Source organism: Homo sapiens, chromosome 13 (genome assembly GCF_000001405.40).
Source record: "Homo sapiens chromosome 13, GRCh38.p14 Primary Assembly".
NCBI lineage: Eukaryota > Metazoa > Chordata > Mammalia > Primates > Hominidae > Homo > Homo sapiens.
The window spans coordinates 39,739,282-39,755,548 of record NC_000013.11 but is presented as its reverse complement, the minus strand read 5'-3'; the positions used below and the strand labels follow the sequence as shown (position 1 = coordinate 39,755,548).

Genomic DNA, 16,267 nt, shown 5'->3' with positions numbered 1-16,267 from the left:
CCCAACCTTTCTTCCAAAGCTTTCTGGTTAGTTTATTGTTTGCTCCAACTTTTACCCATTGCTTCATGTAGCAATGACAGGTAAATGTTTTAAATAAATTCCCCACCCCCACCCCAGTAGAGGGTGAGTTCCATAACAGGCAAGATAAAGGCCGGTTTTTTAAATGGGTTTTCCTGGGAGCTATCAGACAGATCAAATAAGGATAATCTGCAAATAAGGTCCATTCTGCTCTTTCCCATACCATGAATGTGGCGTGTTCTTTTCAACACTACTGCTGAACTAGGGAGCAAGGTATGGAAACGGCATAAGTTAAACACCAAAATGCTTGCTGTTATTACTAACATTTGGCTTTTTTTTCTCTTTTTTTAAGTAACTCAGGTTACTGTGATCTTTTGATTAGTTTCTCGAGTCCTGAAAAAGTTGACTTTGATCATTTTTTGAAGGCCAGTTTTATTGCTACCTTTATGAAGGGACAAAATTTTTAAGTTCCTTAATCCACCATTTTTCCTCTCACCACACTATTACATAATTTTACATCTTAACCAAATAGTTAATAGAACCCAATCATTATGATAATCTCAGACTGAACAATGTACAGTTGTGGTTTGAAACTTTGTTTTCTGTGCTCTCAACCTCTTATACCAAGGACATCCGGCTGAATTATAAAGGATGATATTAGTTCATTTTTTCTTCTTGCCAACATGCACAAGCACTCTACCAAATTTCATGATGTTTATTTACAATACATGTAACTATCATTGTGCAAGACAGGGAATTCCTCAACGGGAAACACATAATTTGGTTATATTTTTAAATGCTTATCACAAAGCCTACTACCTAGTAGGTACTTAAGAAATGTGTTTAATGATAAGACTAATGAAAAAAAATAGCTCTCATATATTGAGTTCTAACTTTAGCCCAGGCCCTATGCCAAGCAAATTTCTAAACTATTTTTTAAAATTGTAAAATATATGAACAGAAGTTTATGTAACATATATGAAAAATTTTAAAGAATATTTAAGAGTACTAACAACCTAGCATAAGAATAAAACATTATCAGTAACTTCAACACATCCTGTGTTTCCCTCTCCATAATCTTAAATTGTATTAATCATTTCCTATATTTTCCTTACACCTTTACATGTATCCACATTCTATAAAATTAGTATTATATTATTCTGATTTCTTTCTCAACATTATGTACTTGAAAACCATTCATTTTCTCACTGCTGTACTCCATCATATGGATATATCTAAAGACATTTAAGCTAACATTATTCTGGATAGAAAAGGTTGAAGTAACAAATCCCTAAAGGAAGGATTAAAACAAAAAAGTATCCAGGATCAAGCCCTAGAGTATGCCAACTTTTAGAAATCATATAGAGGCAAAAGAGCCAGGGAAGAAGGTCAAAAGGGGGTTGGGTTAATGAAATGGGAGGAAAATTAGGAGAAAGTGGTGCCATGGAAGACTGGAAAGGATAGAATTTCAAACAGAAATGTGTAGAATGACACTGAGAGTTCAACAAATAGAGATACAGAAGAATCTGCTAGATCTGACAACATATAGCACTGATGAAAAGCTTATCAGGTTAGTTTCGGTGTAGTAGTGAGAGACTGAAACTATATTGGGATACTTTAAAGACAGAATGAGAAATAAGGAAGTAGACGACAGCATGTCTAAACCAGGAAAGGAAGCAGAGAAATGGAAGTGTTAGGATCTGAGTAGAGAGTTTTTAAAAATACTATGAACATTACAACATTATTTATGACATTGAGAATAATCCTACAGAGAGGCCAGTTGTTGCTGAAGCAAAATGAAGGGATAACCCAGAGACAGAAGGATCTAATAAGAAGATGAGAGATGCGAGCCAGAGCATAATGGAGGGAATATCCTGTCATAGAAAGAGAGATAACATCTCAAGTACAAAACAAGGAAGGAGAGGAGATGGGTGTGATGTTTGAGAATAGGAAAATGAGGAAGATTAATCTAATAGTTTCTATTCTTGGTGAATTATGAAGGATATTAACTGAGAATGTGGGTGTAAAAGTCCTCTGGAAACATGGCAAGTTAAGAGTAGAATTACAAAGCAATATTGAATGTCTGTCTTAGTTCATTTAGACTGCTGTACCAAAATACCATAAACTAGCTGGCTTATAAAAACAACAGACATTTATTTCTCCCAGTTCTGGAGGCTCGAAGCCCAAAATCAAGGCACCAAAAGATTTGGTGTCTAGTGAGGGCCCACTTCCTCACTGATGGCTGTCTTCTCACTGTAACGTCACATGGTAGAAGGGACAGGGATCTCTTGAGCCTCTTGAGTAAGGGTACTAATTCCATTAATGAGGACTTCATCCTGACAATCTAATCACCTCTCAAAGGACCCACCTCCTAATACCATCCCCTGAGGGGTGAGGATTTCAACATGAATTTGGGGAAACATAAACATTCCAACTACAGCAGTGCCCATTTGAACACTGTAATCATGAATTTCGAGTAAAGCCAATTAGTCCATTTGTGTCATCTTTTTCCTCAGGTAATATCCACCTGCTCAAATGAAGGCACAGAGAAAGAAATGGAAAAGTTCAACCACATAAGGGTTTTGCCATTCAAACACCTTTCCTCTCTGAAAGAAGGGCAGACATGCCTTTTCCAGGTTATACTTATGCCAAATGAAAATAGTTCAAAATGCAAACTATGGAGTAATAGCAAATTTAGGTGTTATATTAATAGATTATTACTTACAATGTTTTATTTTGCCTTAGCTCTCAAGATCATATATACCACATTTTTCCTGTGAGTCTTTCACTGATTACCTCAGTTTTGCCCTATGTTGTATTTCCTTTTCCATTAGTGCATTTTCTAAAAACACATCAATAGGATATATATCTACAGGACAGCTGCAATAATTGCTGCTCTAGAAATATTTTAATATTTTATTTGAAAAAACCAGGTAAAAAGCACAATAAATTTTCCCTATAAAACAAAGGAATTCACTCATAGCAAGGTATCAATCTTCTTTCTCTGTAGAAATAAATTATATACAATTTAAGCTCTTGATTTATACTTTATTTTCTGTCTTTATATGTAACACATACTAATCAAAGGGAAAAAACTAAAAATACAGATTTATACCCAAATGGATAACGATTATATAATCATTCTTACTCCAAAAAGAACTGTATTAGGTATAAACAATTATAAACTTCAGATAAATAGGTCATATTCTATAAATACTAATTTGTTATATACAACACATAATCTTCTACAAATACTAGTTTTATGTTATTACTTTTCAAAATATTTCAAACTAGTTATTTTTTTCCTTGTGCTTCAATTTTCTCATTTGTAATTTAGGGACTTACCCATTTTTATAGATTTACTAGAAATTAAGTTTTTTTTTGCTGACAAGAATGTCAAATCAGGCACACTGGGATTTATTCCTTTAAAAATACAGTCATTTTTAATCTTCCTAATAGGTAATGGTCTAAAGTCAGAGTCCAGTTACAACATGGAGATAAGACACACTGCCAATTGGCAACTCCTCCTCTGGCAGTTTTTTTCTCCAATGTTTGAGTAGATCATTGTTTCTTTGGTTTGAACACCAGATAAAATGTGTAGTTGGTTGGATTTAGGACCCATATTGTATGACAAATACCCATCTTTAAACACCAGGCTTAGACACAGCTCAGGCTATCTACATGCTTAGAGCTCATTGGAAAGGCTGAGCTCCACCTTGAGTTCCATCGAAGGCTCCCACAGAGTGGAATCCACCCTGTTTAAATCACTTTTCTCTCTCCTTTTTTTCTAATTATTGCTGAGTGTATACTTAAAATTGCATAAGAATGTACACAGTCAAATATATATAGTATGCTAAAGTAGAACAGAAAGGAGATTCACTGCCATATACACCAGGAGCACATTCACTGTTATTTTTCTCTCTGCTAACAACTCTTTAAGGGCAGCTATTTTGGGGACAGAGACATAGGCTAGGTTCAGAAAAGCTACTAAGTATGCCTACTCATATTAAAAGAAAGCAAATGAATCTTTAGGTAAGGAGACATTTATTAGGTCATATCCTTATACTAATTATTAAATTTAGACAAATTTTTTATAAGCTGTTAATTTAGAACTAGTCTTGTAAAAAAAAATTCTTCAAACCTTTCATACTACTTTATGCTTCCTGAATACAGTGAAAACTGCAGAGCTGGAGAGATGGCTAGCAAAAAAATAGATCATCTCATTTAGAGTAGATACACAGCAATACTAGCTCAGGTCAACATGTTACTTACTTCCCTGTTACTGAGACCAAAAAAAAAAAAATTATCGGGACTTACAATCTTATGATACAAAGAAAACTGTAACTATCAAATTATAGAGTAAAAATTCAAAGAATAAAAAATAACCTTCAGTGTTTTAGGGAGGTCATATTTTGCTAACACAATGAAATAAGATAATCAGGAAAGAAGCGTCTGCACTTGCTGCGGCGATCGGTGAAGAATGTTCTCTGGATCTTTGTATTCATTGATTGGATTCATCACGGCTGCATACACTTCACCATAGGCTCTGCAGACTAATTCTGTAGATTGTTTTACGATCTGCTCTCTATTGATAAGCAAACAAAATGTAAACACATCATTTGAAAAAAATATATTTACTAAGAATTGTAAGACAGCTTGACACTTCAATCAACACATTTCATTTTCATTATCATCACACATACACTATTTAATAATCACTATATGGCTACACAGTTAATCCTAATTTTGGGATAAAATATAATTTTGTATTCATTATTTATTAAATCTTTCTCCATTACTATATAGGTTGCAGAGGGCATGGACTGTGTTTTGTTCCTGATATATATTGGACTGCTATATATTTGTGCCTGATATACAGGACTGCTAAATAAGAAACAAAAACTGTGACCCAATGTCAATGTATTGATTTTGCAAAAGTGGTAACACATTAAAGAAAGATGCTTACAATTGTTTCAATTTATCAACACTTTTATCTCTCAGGAAAACTTAAAGTAAACTGCTCTTTCACCTTACAGCTTTTACACTAACAACCACATCTCCTAGCTTTCTCTTCATCTCTCTATATCACCCCAAGCTAAAATGTGACACTTGCCTGCAGCAAATCACAGCTTTCTCACAAATATACATTTCTACAAAAGCACATAAAGAATGAGTCCTGCAAATGTTTACAAAATTATCCAGCTAGAAAAAACAGTATTGGTTCATTAAATGTGCAACAACTCTCTGCATAGTTCCATGACATTAACTTCCTGTCATCCCTAGCTACTCATACTATTCATGTATCACCATGAGAAGATGGTACTAACGGTACTCATGGTTCTCATGGTACTCATGGTACTGGCCATGAGAACACTGGTACTAATTTTCTGATTTTTACAAAAACTAAAATAAAAATGTGTGTTTAAAGCTTTGCTTCCACACCTCCTTTTCTTGTAGTTTCCTACTTCTGTTAATGGCATAACAATGTTGTATCACTTCAGCTCAGGTTCTAAAATGACCTCTTGCCTGGAGTACACACAAACTCCTATCTATTCTTCCCTCTTTCAGTCTCTTCAATATTCAATCCATCCTAGGCACTGTTGTTAGATCAATCTTGCTGAGGCATACTTTCTATCACATCTCTCTCTTACCTGGGGCTTTCAAAGAGCTTCAGTAGCCTCTTTTGGTTTCAGAGAAGCCCAAATTCCTTCTACCATTCAAAAATTATCTAACACTTTCCCTATCACTATTCTAATTCCAGTGCAACCCTTGACTGTTCTCTGGGCTCTGGTTTGCTGATCTCAGTTCCTTTGCTCCTACTTCATTTTCCTAGAGTGCCTCTTTCACCACTTGTAAATGCTCTTAATGTTCAACAAAAATGTTCTCTCTTATCCATGAAGTCTTGTCTGATCTTTAGAGCTAGAAATAATTACTTCCTTTGTGGAATGTCCATGGCACTTTTTCTGTTCCTTTCATATAGCTTTTACCACTCCTAACTTACAATAAAGCTTCTACATTTTCTTGATGTTCAGATCCCAACAGCTTTGTATTAGGAAGGGGTTAGTTCTGCATCAAATGGATATGACTGCAATATAACCCAATTTCCAAAATGTACTTAAAAAATTGTTTAGAATTACAGAAATACATGTTGTTCATGTCTTACCTGTCCTACAAAATTTCAACTAACTTGACACTGTTTATGTTCACATGTCCCTTAAAACCCAGTATATTTTGAATATGATGGATGCTCAATAAATACATGTTCACTGAATGCTTGATGGAGAAAAAGAACTTTTTCCTTATTTACAGAGTCCTATTCTGGGCTCTTGAGCCACCACTGTTTTCCATAAATGCTGAATCAGTGGCTATTTCAGGAAAACTGTTTCTTCACATAGTCAAGAGTACATGACTGTGACTAGCTAGATTAACGTAATAGTTATAGCAGTAATAGTAATATTGTGTTAAGTTGTCACACAGGTCAATGTCATGAAGTCATCATCAACAGAACACATTCTTTGTTTTTCTAGGAATTATGTTCTTTTTTGATAATAATGGATAGAATAATACATTTTTAAGACTATCTGTGGAAATATATGCATCTGTGGTCTAGAAAAGAAAATAGTTGGATGGAATAAGGAAAGAAGTCCACTTAAGATCTTGGAACATCTGTACACTGTTCTAATGGGGTCCAAACTCTTGACGAGTTGGAGTAACTTGACATTTTCCAAAAATTGCTAAAGCTTCCAAAATGACAGTGAGTAGAAGAAAGACATGCTGAGTAAATTTTCTGAGCAGAGTAGACTGGTGCTACTGGTTGTACTACCTTTCTGCTGAAAGGGAAGGGATGATGGTAGAAACTGGTTTAGAAAACTGCTTAACTAAATGAGGCTTGGGGATTTTTTTTTTTTCTTTTTCGAGACAGTCTCACTTCTTTGTCACCCAGGCTGGAGTGCAGTGGCATGATCTTGGCTCACTGCAACCTCTGCCTTCCCGGTTCAAGTGATTCTCCTGCCTCAGCCTCCCGAGTAGCTGGGATTACAGGCATGCACCACCATGCCTGCCTAATTTTTGTATTTTTAGTAGAGACGGGGTTTCATCATGTTGGCAAGGCTGGTCTCAAAATCCTGACCTCAGGTGATCCGCCCACTGTGGCCTCCCAAAGTGCTGGGATTACAGGCATGAGCCACTGTGCCCAGCCTGGAGATATTTTTTGATCTATTGATTAGTGGTCTTTCCTGTAATTAAATTTGCTTGACAATGAATGTAACAAAATAATGCAAAAATTATTTTTCATTAAAAACTACTAGAAACTAGTATTTTAAAACTTTGTTAGATATAACATACATTTGATATCCACTTTTGCAACAAGTCAGATACTGGATTTTAGAAACAGTGTTCTTAGTTCTTTTCTAAGCGCAATAACATAGATTTCTGAGAAGTGTGTAAAGCATTCATTACTCATGCCTCATACTCAAGTCTATACTCAATCTCAATACAGCATATATTTGATCGTATATAAGGAGTACACAAAAATAAGGCTATTCCTTCTCATAAAAAGTATAAAATAAGAATAATGTACAATTATAAATATTGAATATGATTTTTAAAAGTTCAGAGTAACTTGTAAATGTAGTATTTAACTTGTAAATGTAGTATTGTTGAAACTTCTAAAGTAGTGAAATTTAAATTTCATTTTCAAGTAACAGTGATAAAAAATTTAAAATTTACTGAAATTTAGTTGTAACTTGACACATTTGTTTCTAAGCTATATAAATTAGCTCACGAATGTCTGTAACTAACAATACAGCTGAAAATCCACTGTAAGTCTGCAATAGATAAAATAAAGCAGTACCACATAAACACAGATAATTAAATAAAATCAAGCCAGTTAAAACTAAACGAGTGTTTAAAATTCATTTTAAATTTTGGTGTTAGATGGTATAGTATGTCTTCAATCTCCGCCTCAGCTTAAAAAGCCACTGAGATATGGAAGGGGTTAAAAAAAGAATATGCATATGGTGGAGAAGATGAAGAAAGCAAAGCCGCTGGATAAAAAGAAATCTTCATGTATTACATGAATGAAGGAGGAAGGAAAAAAAGCAAAGAATAAGGAACTGCTCCTCCTGGCCTGCTAACTGCCTGCTAAAGCCAACAGGATAGAAATAAAATGAAAAGGGAGATTCTCTGAAGCGAGTCTGAGTCAAACTTAAATTATAAAGACCAAGAACTCTGGCTGACAGTGTGATTCCACATTTCTGAACAAATATGAGTTCATTTATCACTACCAAAGCAACAGGTTCCTACACTCACTTTTATTAAGTATTTTCTAATCAGTTCTATATGGTACAGTACAGATAAAATGGTATAGACGAGTAAATTACTGTTAGAAGGCTTACATTCTAGTTGAAGCTCTGCCACTTATTGTTGCCTTGAACAAGTAATTTAACCTCTCCAAGACTGCTTTCTCCACTATAAACCAAATATTGAACTGGTTAATCTTTATAAGGTACTTTAAGCTTTTAAGCTATATTATTCCACTGAGAGTTAAGAGTATTTTAATGAGTTATTGTTTTAAAAAAACTACCTACATGAATAAATACATCACATATACATACACATACATTATTTTAGGGAACTAAGTTTCCCAAAATATGATTTATAAAAGCGTATCAGTTATTTGTATATAAATGAATGTTTCTATAGTGTTAAAACCATTTTATTCTCTTGCCAGTTTACTATATTTTTATTTACAGTAATAATTACTATGTAAATTCATCCTTTATCTTAAAAAGTATATTAAGTATCTGTCTATCAATCAACTGATCTATCTGTCTATATTGTCTGCCTGGTCTTAGCCCAAATTATTCACTAATTACTAATATCACATATGAAATACACAGTCTCAAACAATAATGAATCATTATAGTAACAAATAATCAATGTCCAAAATGTAAAAGTTTCAAGGATTCTATGACTAAATCCAAAATGACCAACAAATCATCTCAGTTCAGTCATATGCTTCTGAAAGTTGGGAATGTCCTTATCAACTAAACACCCTATGTACAGGCAGTGAAAACAGTGAATTTTTTTGTTGTTGTTGTTAGCAGTGCATGCTGAACACTGGTTCTAGCATGGGCATGCACTTGATTTTACTTACTTACTATTTTGATCAATCACAGCCTAGTCCATAGCTGACGGGAAGTACTTTCAGGACTGTTTCTGTCCTCTTGCTTTTCACAACACCAAAAGATATGCAAAAAGACCAGTTGAAAGGGGGAAGTAACTTTTTTTTTTTTTAATGATACTTTAAGTTCTAGGGTACATGTGCACAACATGCCAGTTCGTTACATAGGTATACACGTGCCATGTTGGTTTGCTGCACCCCATTTACTCATCATTTACATTAGGTATTTCTCCTAATGCTATCCCTCCCCTACTCCCCACCCCATGACAGGCCCCAGGGTGTGATGTTCCCCGCCCTGTGTTCAAGTGTTCTCATTGTTCAGTTCCCACCTATGAGTGAGAACACGTGGTGTTTGGTTTTCTGTCCTTGGGACAGTGTGCTTAGAATGATGGTTTCCAGCAGTATCCATGTCCCTACAAAGGACATGAACTCATCCTTTTTTATGGCTGCATAGTATTCTATGGTGTATATGTGCCACATTTTCTTAATCCAGTCTATCATTGATGGACATTTGGGTTGGTTCCAAGTCTTTGCTATTGTGAATAGTGCCTCAATAAACATACGTGTGCATGTGTCTTTATAGTAGCATGATTTATAATCCTTTGGGTATATACCCAGTAATGGATTCACCGGGTCAAAAAACTAGTTCTAGATCCTTGAGGATTTGCCACACTGTCTTCCACAATGGTTGAACTAGTTTACACTCCCACCAACAGTGAAAAAGCATTCCTATTTCTCCACATCCTCTCCAGCATCCGTTGTTTCCTGACTTTTTAATGATCACTATTCTAACTGGCGTGAGATGGTATCTCATTGTGGTTTTGATTTGCATTTCTCTGATGACCAGTGAGTGATGATGAGCATTTTTTCATGTGTCTGTTGGCTGCATAAATGTCTTCTTTTGAGAAGTATCTGTTCATATCCTTTGCCCACTTTTTGATGGTTTTTTTTCTTGTAAATTTGTTTAAGTTCTTTGTAGATTCTGGATATTAGCCCTTTGTCAGATGGGTAGATTGCAAACATTTTTTCCCATTCTGTAGGTTGCCTGTTCACTCTGATGGTAGTTTCTTTTGCTGTGCAGAAGCTCTTTAGTTTAATTAGATCCTATTTTCCTACTTTGGCTTTTGTTGCCATTGCTTTTGGTGTTTTCGTCATGAAGTCCTTGCCCATGCCTATGCCCTGAATGGTATTGGCTAAGTTTTCTTCTAGGGTTTTTATGGTTTTAGGTCTAACGTTTAAGTCTTTAATCCATCTTGAAATAATTTTTGTATAAGGTGTAAGGAAGGGATCCAGGTTCAGCTTTCTACATTTGGCTAGCCAGTTTTCCCAGTACCATTTATTAAATAGGGAATCCTTACCCCTTGTCAGGTTTGTCAAAGATCAGATGGTTGTAGATGTGTGGTGTTATTTCTGAGGCCTCTGTTCTGTTCCATTGGTCTATATCTCTGTTTTGATACCAGTACCATGATGTTTTGGTTACTGTAGCCTTGTAGTATAGTTTGAAGTCAGGTAGCGTGATGCCTCCAGCTTTGTTCTTTTGGCTTAGGATTGTCTTGGCAATGTGGGCTCTTTTTTGGTTCCATATGAACTTTAAAGTAGTTTTTTTTCCAATTCGAAAGTCATTGGTACCTTGATGGGGATGGCATTGAATCTCCAAATTATCTTGGGTAGTATGGCCATTTTCACAATACTGATTCTTCCCATCTATGAGCATGAAATGTTCTTCCATTTGTTTGTGTCCTCTTTTATTTTGTTGAGCAGTGGTTTGTAGTTCTCCTTGAAGAGGTCCTTCACATCCCTTGTAAGTTGGATTCCTAGGTTATTTTATTCTCTTTGTAGCAATTGTGAATGGGAGTTCACTCATGATTTGGCTCTCTGTTTGTCTGTTATTGGTGTATAGGAATGCTTGTGATTTTTGCACATTGATTTTGTATCCTGAGACTTTGCTGAAGTTGCTTGTCAGCGTAAGGAGATTTTGGGCTGGGAAAATGGGGTTTTCTAAATATGCAATCATGTCATCTGCAAACAGGGATGATTTGACTTCCTCTTTTCCTAATTAAATATCCTTTATTTCTCTCTCTTGCCTGATTGCCCTGGCCAGAACTTCCAACACTATGTTGAATAGGAGTGGTGAGAGAGGGCATCCCTGTCTTGTGCCAGTTTTCAAAGGGAATGCTTCCAGTTTTTGCCTGTTCAGTATGATATTGGCTGTGGGTTTGTCATAAATAGCTCTTATTATTTTAAGACACATTCCATCAATACCTAGTTTATTGAGAGTTTTTAGCATGAAGGGCTGTGGAATTTTGTCGAAGGCCCTTTCTGCGTTTATTGAGATAATCATGTGGTTTTTGTCACTGGTTCTGTTTATATGATAGGTTATGTTTATTGATTTGCATAGGTTAAACCAGCCTTGCATCCCAGGGATGAAGCCAATTTGATCTTGGTGGGTAAGTTTTTTGATGTGCTGCTGGATTCAGTTTGCCAGTATTTTATTGAGGATTTTTGCATCGATGTTCATCAGGGATATTGGTCTAAAATTCTCTTTTTTTGTTGTGTCTCTGCCAGGCTTTGGTATCAGGATGATGCTGGCCTCATAACATGAGTTAGGGAGGATTCCCTCTTTTTCTATTGATTGGAAGTTTCAGAATGGATGGTACCAGCTCCTCTTTGTACCTCTGGTAGAATTCACCTGTGAATCCATCTGGTCCTGGACTTTTTTTTGGTTGGTAGGCTATTAATTATTGCCTCAATTTCAGAGCCTGTTATTGGTCTATTCAGAGATTCAACTTCTTCTTGGTTTAGTCTTGGGAGGGTGTATGTGTCAAGGAATTTATCCATTTCTTCTAGGTTTTCTAGATTATTTGCATAGAGGTGTTTATAGTATTCTCTGATGGTAGTTTGTATGTCTGTGGTATCAGTGGTGATATTCCCTTTATCATTTTTTATTGCATCTATTTGATTCTTCTCTCTTTTCTTCTTTATTAGTCTTGCTAGCCGTCTATCAATTTTGTTGATCCTTTCAAAAAACCAGCTCCTGGATTCATTGATTTTTTTAAGGGTTTTTTGTGTCTCTATGTCCTTCAGTTCTGCTCTGATCTTAGTCATTTCTTGCCTTCTGCTAGCTTTTCAATTTGTTTGCTCTTGCTTCTCTAGTTCTTTTAATTGTGATGTTAGGGTGTCGATTTTAGATCTTTCCTGCTTTCTCTTTTGGGCATTTAGTGCTATAAATTTCCCTCACACACTGCTTTAAATGTGTCCCAGAGATTCTGGTATGTTGTGTCTTTGTTCTCATTAGTTTCAGAGAACATCTTTATTTCTGCCTTGATTTCGTTATGTACCCAGTAGTCATTCAGGAGCAGGTTGTTCAGTTTCCATGTAGTTGTGCAGTTTTGAGTGAGTTTCTTAATCCTGAGTTCTAGTTTGATTGCACTGTGGTCTGAGAGACAGTTTGTTGTGATTTCTGTTCTTTTATATTTGCTGAGGAGTGCTTTACTTCGAACTATGTGGTCAATTTTGGAATAAGTGCGATGTGGTGCTGAGAAGAATGTATATTCTGTTGATTTGGGGTGGAGAGTTCTGTAGATGTCTATTAGGTCTGCTTGCTGTAGAGGTGAGTTCAAGTCCTGGATATCCTTGTTAACTTTCTGTCTCGTTGATCTGTCTAATGTTGACAGTGGGGTGTTAAAATCTCCCATTATTATTGTGTGGGAGTCTAAGCCTCTTTGTAGGTCTCTAAGGACTTGCTTTATGAATCTGGGTGCTCCTGTATTGGGTGCATATATATTTAGGATAGTTAGCTCTTCTTGTTGAATTGATCCCTTTACCATTATGTAATGGCCTTCTTTGTCTCTTTTGATCTTTGTTGGTTTAAAGTCTGTTCTATCAGAGACTAGGATTGCAACCCCTGCCTTTTTTTGTTTTCCATTTGCTTGGTAGATCTTCCTCCATCCCTTTATTTTGAGCCTATGTGTGTCTCTGCATGTGAGATGGGTCTCCTGAATACAGCACACTGATGTGTCTTGACTCTTTATCCAATTTGCCAGTCTGTGTCTTTTAATTGGGGCATTTAGCCCATTTACATTTAAGGTTAATATTGTTATGTGTGAATCTGATCCTGTCATTATGATGTTAGCTGGTTATTTTGCCCGTTAGTTGATGCTGTTTCTTCCCAGCATCAATGGTCTTTACAGTTCGGCATGTTTTTGCAGTGGCTGGTACCGGCTGTTCCTTTCCATGTTTAGTGCTTCCTTCAGGAGCTCTTATAAGGCAGGCCTGGTAGTAACAAAATCTCTCAGCATTTGCTTGTCTGTAAAGGATTTTATTTCTCCTTCACTTATGAAGCTTAGTTTGTCTGGATATGAAATTCTAGGTTGAAAATTCTTTTATTTAAGAATGTTGAATATTGACCCCACTGTCTTCTGGCTTGTAGAGTTTCTGCTGACAGATATGCGGTTAGTCTGATGGGCTTCCCTTTGTGGGTAACCCGACCTTTCTCTCTGGCTGCTCTTAACATTTTTTCCTTCATTTCAATCTTGGTGAATCTGACAATTATATGTCTTGGGGTTGCTTTTCTCGAGGAGTATCTTGGTGGTGTTCTTTGCATTTCCTGAATTTGAATGTTGGCCTGCCTTGCTAGGTTGGGGAAGTTCTCCTGGATAACATCCTGAAGAGTGTTTTCCAACTTGGTTCCACTCTCCCTGTCACTTTCAGGTACACCAATCAAACGTAGATTTGGTCTTTTCACATAGTCCCATATTTCTTGGAGGCTTTGTTTGTTTCTTTTTACTCTTTTTTCTCTAAACTTCTCTTCTTGATTTCATTAATTTGATCTTCAATCACTGATACCCTTTCTTCCACTTGATCAAATCGACTATTGAAGCTTGTGCATGCGTCACATAGTTCTCGTGCCATGGTTTTCAGCTCCATCAGGTCATTTAAGGTCTTCTCTACACTGTTAATTCTAGTTAGACATTCATCTAATCTTTTTTCAAGGTTTTTAGCTTCCTTGCAATGGGTTCGAACATCCTCCTTTAGCTCAGAGAAGTTTGTTATTATCGACTTTCTGAAGCCTACTTCTGTCAGCTTGTCAAAGTCATTCTCTATCCAGCTTTGTTCCATTGCTGGCGAGGAGCTGTGATCCTTTGAAGAAGAGAATCTCTAGATATGTAACTAAATGGAGATATTATTCTCATTTTAAAATATGTTCAAAGAAATTTACTGTATTCTAAATAATTATTTAAAACTGAACTGAGATAAGAAATGAACTGCTTACTTCCAAAAATCAGTGAGCTTGTCATTAATCTGTACTTTAGGATTTTGGTTGCCATAACAACATGATACAACTTTCATCATTACCATAAACCCAGCATTTCCAGAAATAGACTATTTCAACATCAGATTCTGTGATCACTAAAATTGAGTTTTATTTTAGCACCGCAGTTAAGAGTGCAATCAAATGTGCCACAGGAGAAAAAAAGGCGTTAAGCCTAAAAGCCCAAGAAGAAAAGACGATAATATCCTTATGAAAAACAGATTAGTTAAAATTTTGATTTTTCTTCATTACCATATAAATATAAGAAATGTCACAATGGGTCAAGACAATTTTTCATCCTAGGTCAGCTATGTGTCTATAAATGAAATTAAAGCATATTTTTTATGAGGCCAAGCTACATATTTCAGATAAGTGTCATCTATCATCATATATGCCAGACGTCTACGAGCATTCTTTAAAAATAATAAAATAATCTCAACACAGAAAGAGCTAATAAAATACAGTATAGTCTAGTGTTGAAGAGAATAGGGTCTAGAATCAGAAATGTTGGATACAAATCATGGCTCTACTTCTTACAAATTTTTTGACCTTGATTCAATTACTTAGTCTTTCTAAACAATATCCTCTTTTAAATTCATCGAAAGAATTGAACTAAGTAATCTATTAAAGGATCACTCTGAGTGTTCAGTTTAGGCTGCAGGGCTTGGGTGGATGGTGGTGGAGAGGGCAAGTGTGAAAATGGAAAAGTTCAGAGGTTAATGTGATAAACCAGGCACAGATGATGCCACCTTGGGCCAGAGTGCTAATTATGGAGATGTTCAGAAGTATGAGTCCTCTCTCATATACTTCTTAGATACATATTTAATGAAATGATTCCATGAGAATTTTGATTAAAGTTGGAGTTATTTACAGATTAACCTGTTACACTAGTGAATTTTTCAGTCTATGAACAGAGTATGCCTATTTAGTCAGATCTTTTAGAATTTTCAATAAATTTTTATAAGTTTCATTATATAATTTTCCACGTATATTATCAAATTTATTTCTAGGAAACAATCCTGTGACTATTATAATAAAGTCTTTTACTTTTCATTGTTATAATTAGATATTTCTGGTATACAGAAGAGGTACTAATTTTAGTATGTTAATTTTGAATCTGGCCAAGTAACAACTCTATTTTAGTTCTATTAGTTTGTTAATTGCTTGCCTTTTTTGTTTTTGGTACAGACATTTAAAATTAATAAGTTTTATTAATTCTTTTCAATATTTATGACTCAATTCATTACAATGGCTAGAAGCTCCAAGGTAAACAGATGTGACAGTAACTATGCATATATTGTTTTGAACTGTAATGAAAAGGTTTCTAATGTTTCATCATTAAGTATTATGTTTGCTGTAGATTTTCAATATTCCAACATAGTGTCATGGTACTCTTCTCTAACTGGTTTATGTAGTAAATTCAAGTAAGATTTTTCTTTGTATGCTTTGGCTATAGTGTTTCCTCTCTTGATGCAATGGAATGTTTGATTTTTTTAAATGATTTTTTATATCTTTCAGGATTTTTACCTAAGACCTACTTAAGCATGACTTTTATCAATATAAAACATTTCCCTTTGACCTTTTATTGACTTACACCCTGAATTCAATTTTGCCTGTTAATATTGCAACTCTTTCTTTCTTTGTATGCCACTTTGTTGTAAATGGTCTCTTGTAAAGGGCATATAGGTGAACTGCGGTTTGCTTTTTTTTGAAATCTAAACTGACACTCTTGTATGTTAAAATAGGGTAGCTTA

The 16,267-nt window shown here is 35.3% G+C and overlaps 1 protein-coding gene across 4 annotated transcripts in view; it reads right to left on the bottom strand.

Annotated features, from left to right (window-relative positions):
• The window catches only part of COG6 (component of oligomeric golgi complex 6), a 136,040-nt gene that overhangs the window by 36,118 nt on the left and 83,655 nt on the right, over nucleotides 1-16,267 (bottom strand). For 3 of the 4 annotated variants that reach the window (NR_026745.1, XM_011535168.2, NM_020751.3), the window contains one exon: nucleotides 2,921-4,603. The exons of the other annotated variant lie outside the window; for it this stretch is intronic. Coding sequence is in view for 2 of the 3 variants with exons in the window: in XM_011535168.2 (XP_011533470.1) it covers nucleotides 4,456-4,603 (148 nt within the window). In the remaining variant the exon portion in view is untranslated. Of the gene's footprint in view, nucleotides 1-2,920; nucleotides 4,604-16,267 lie in introns of those variants that run through there. 4 annotated transcript variants of the gene reach the window in all.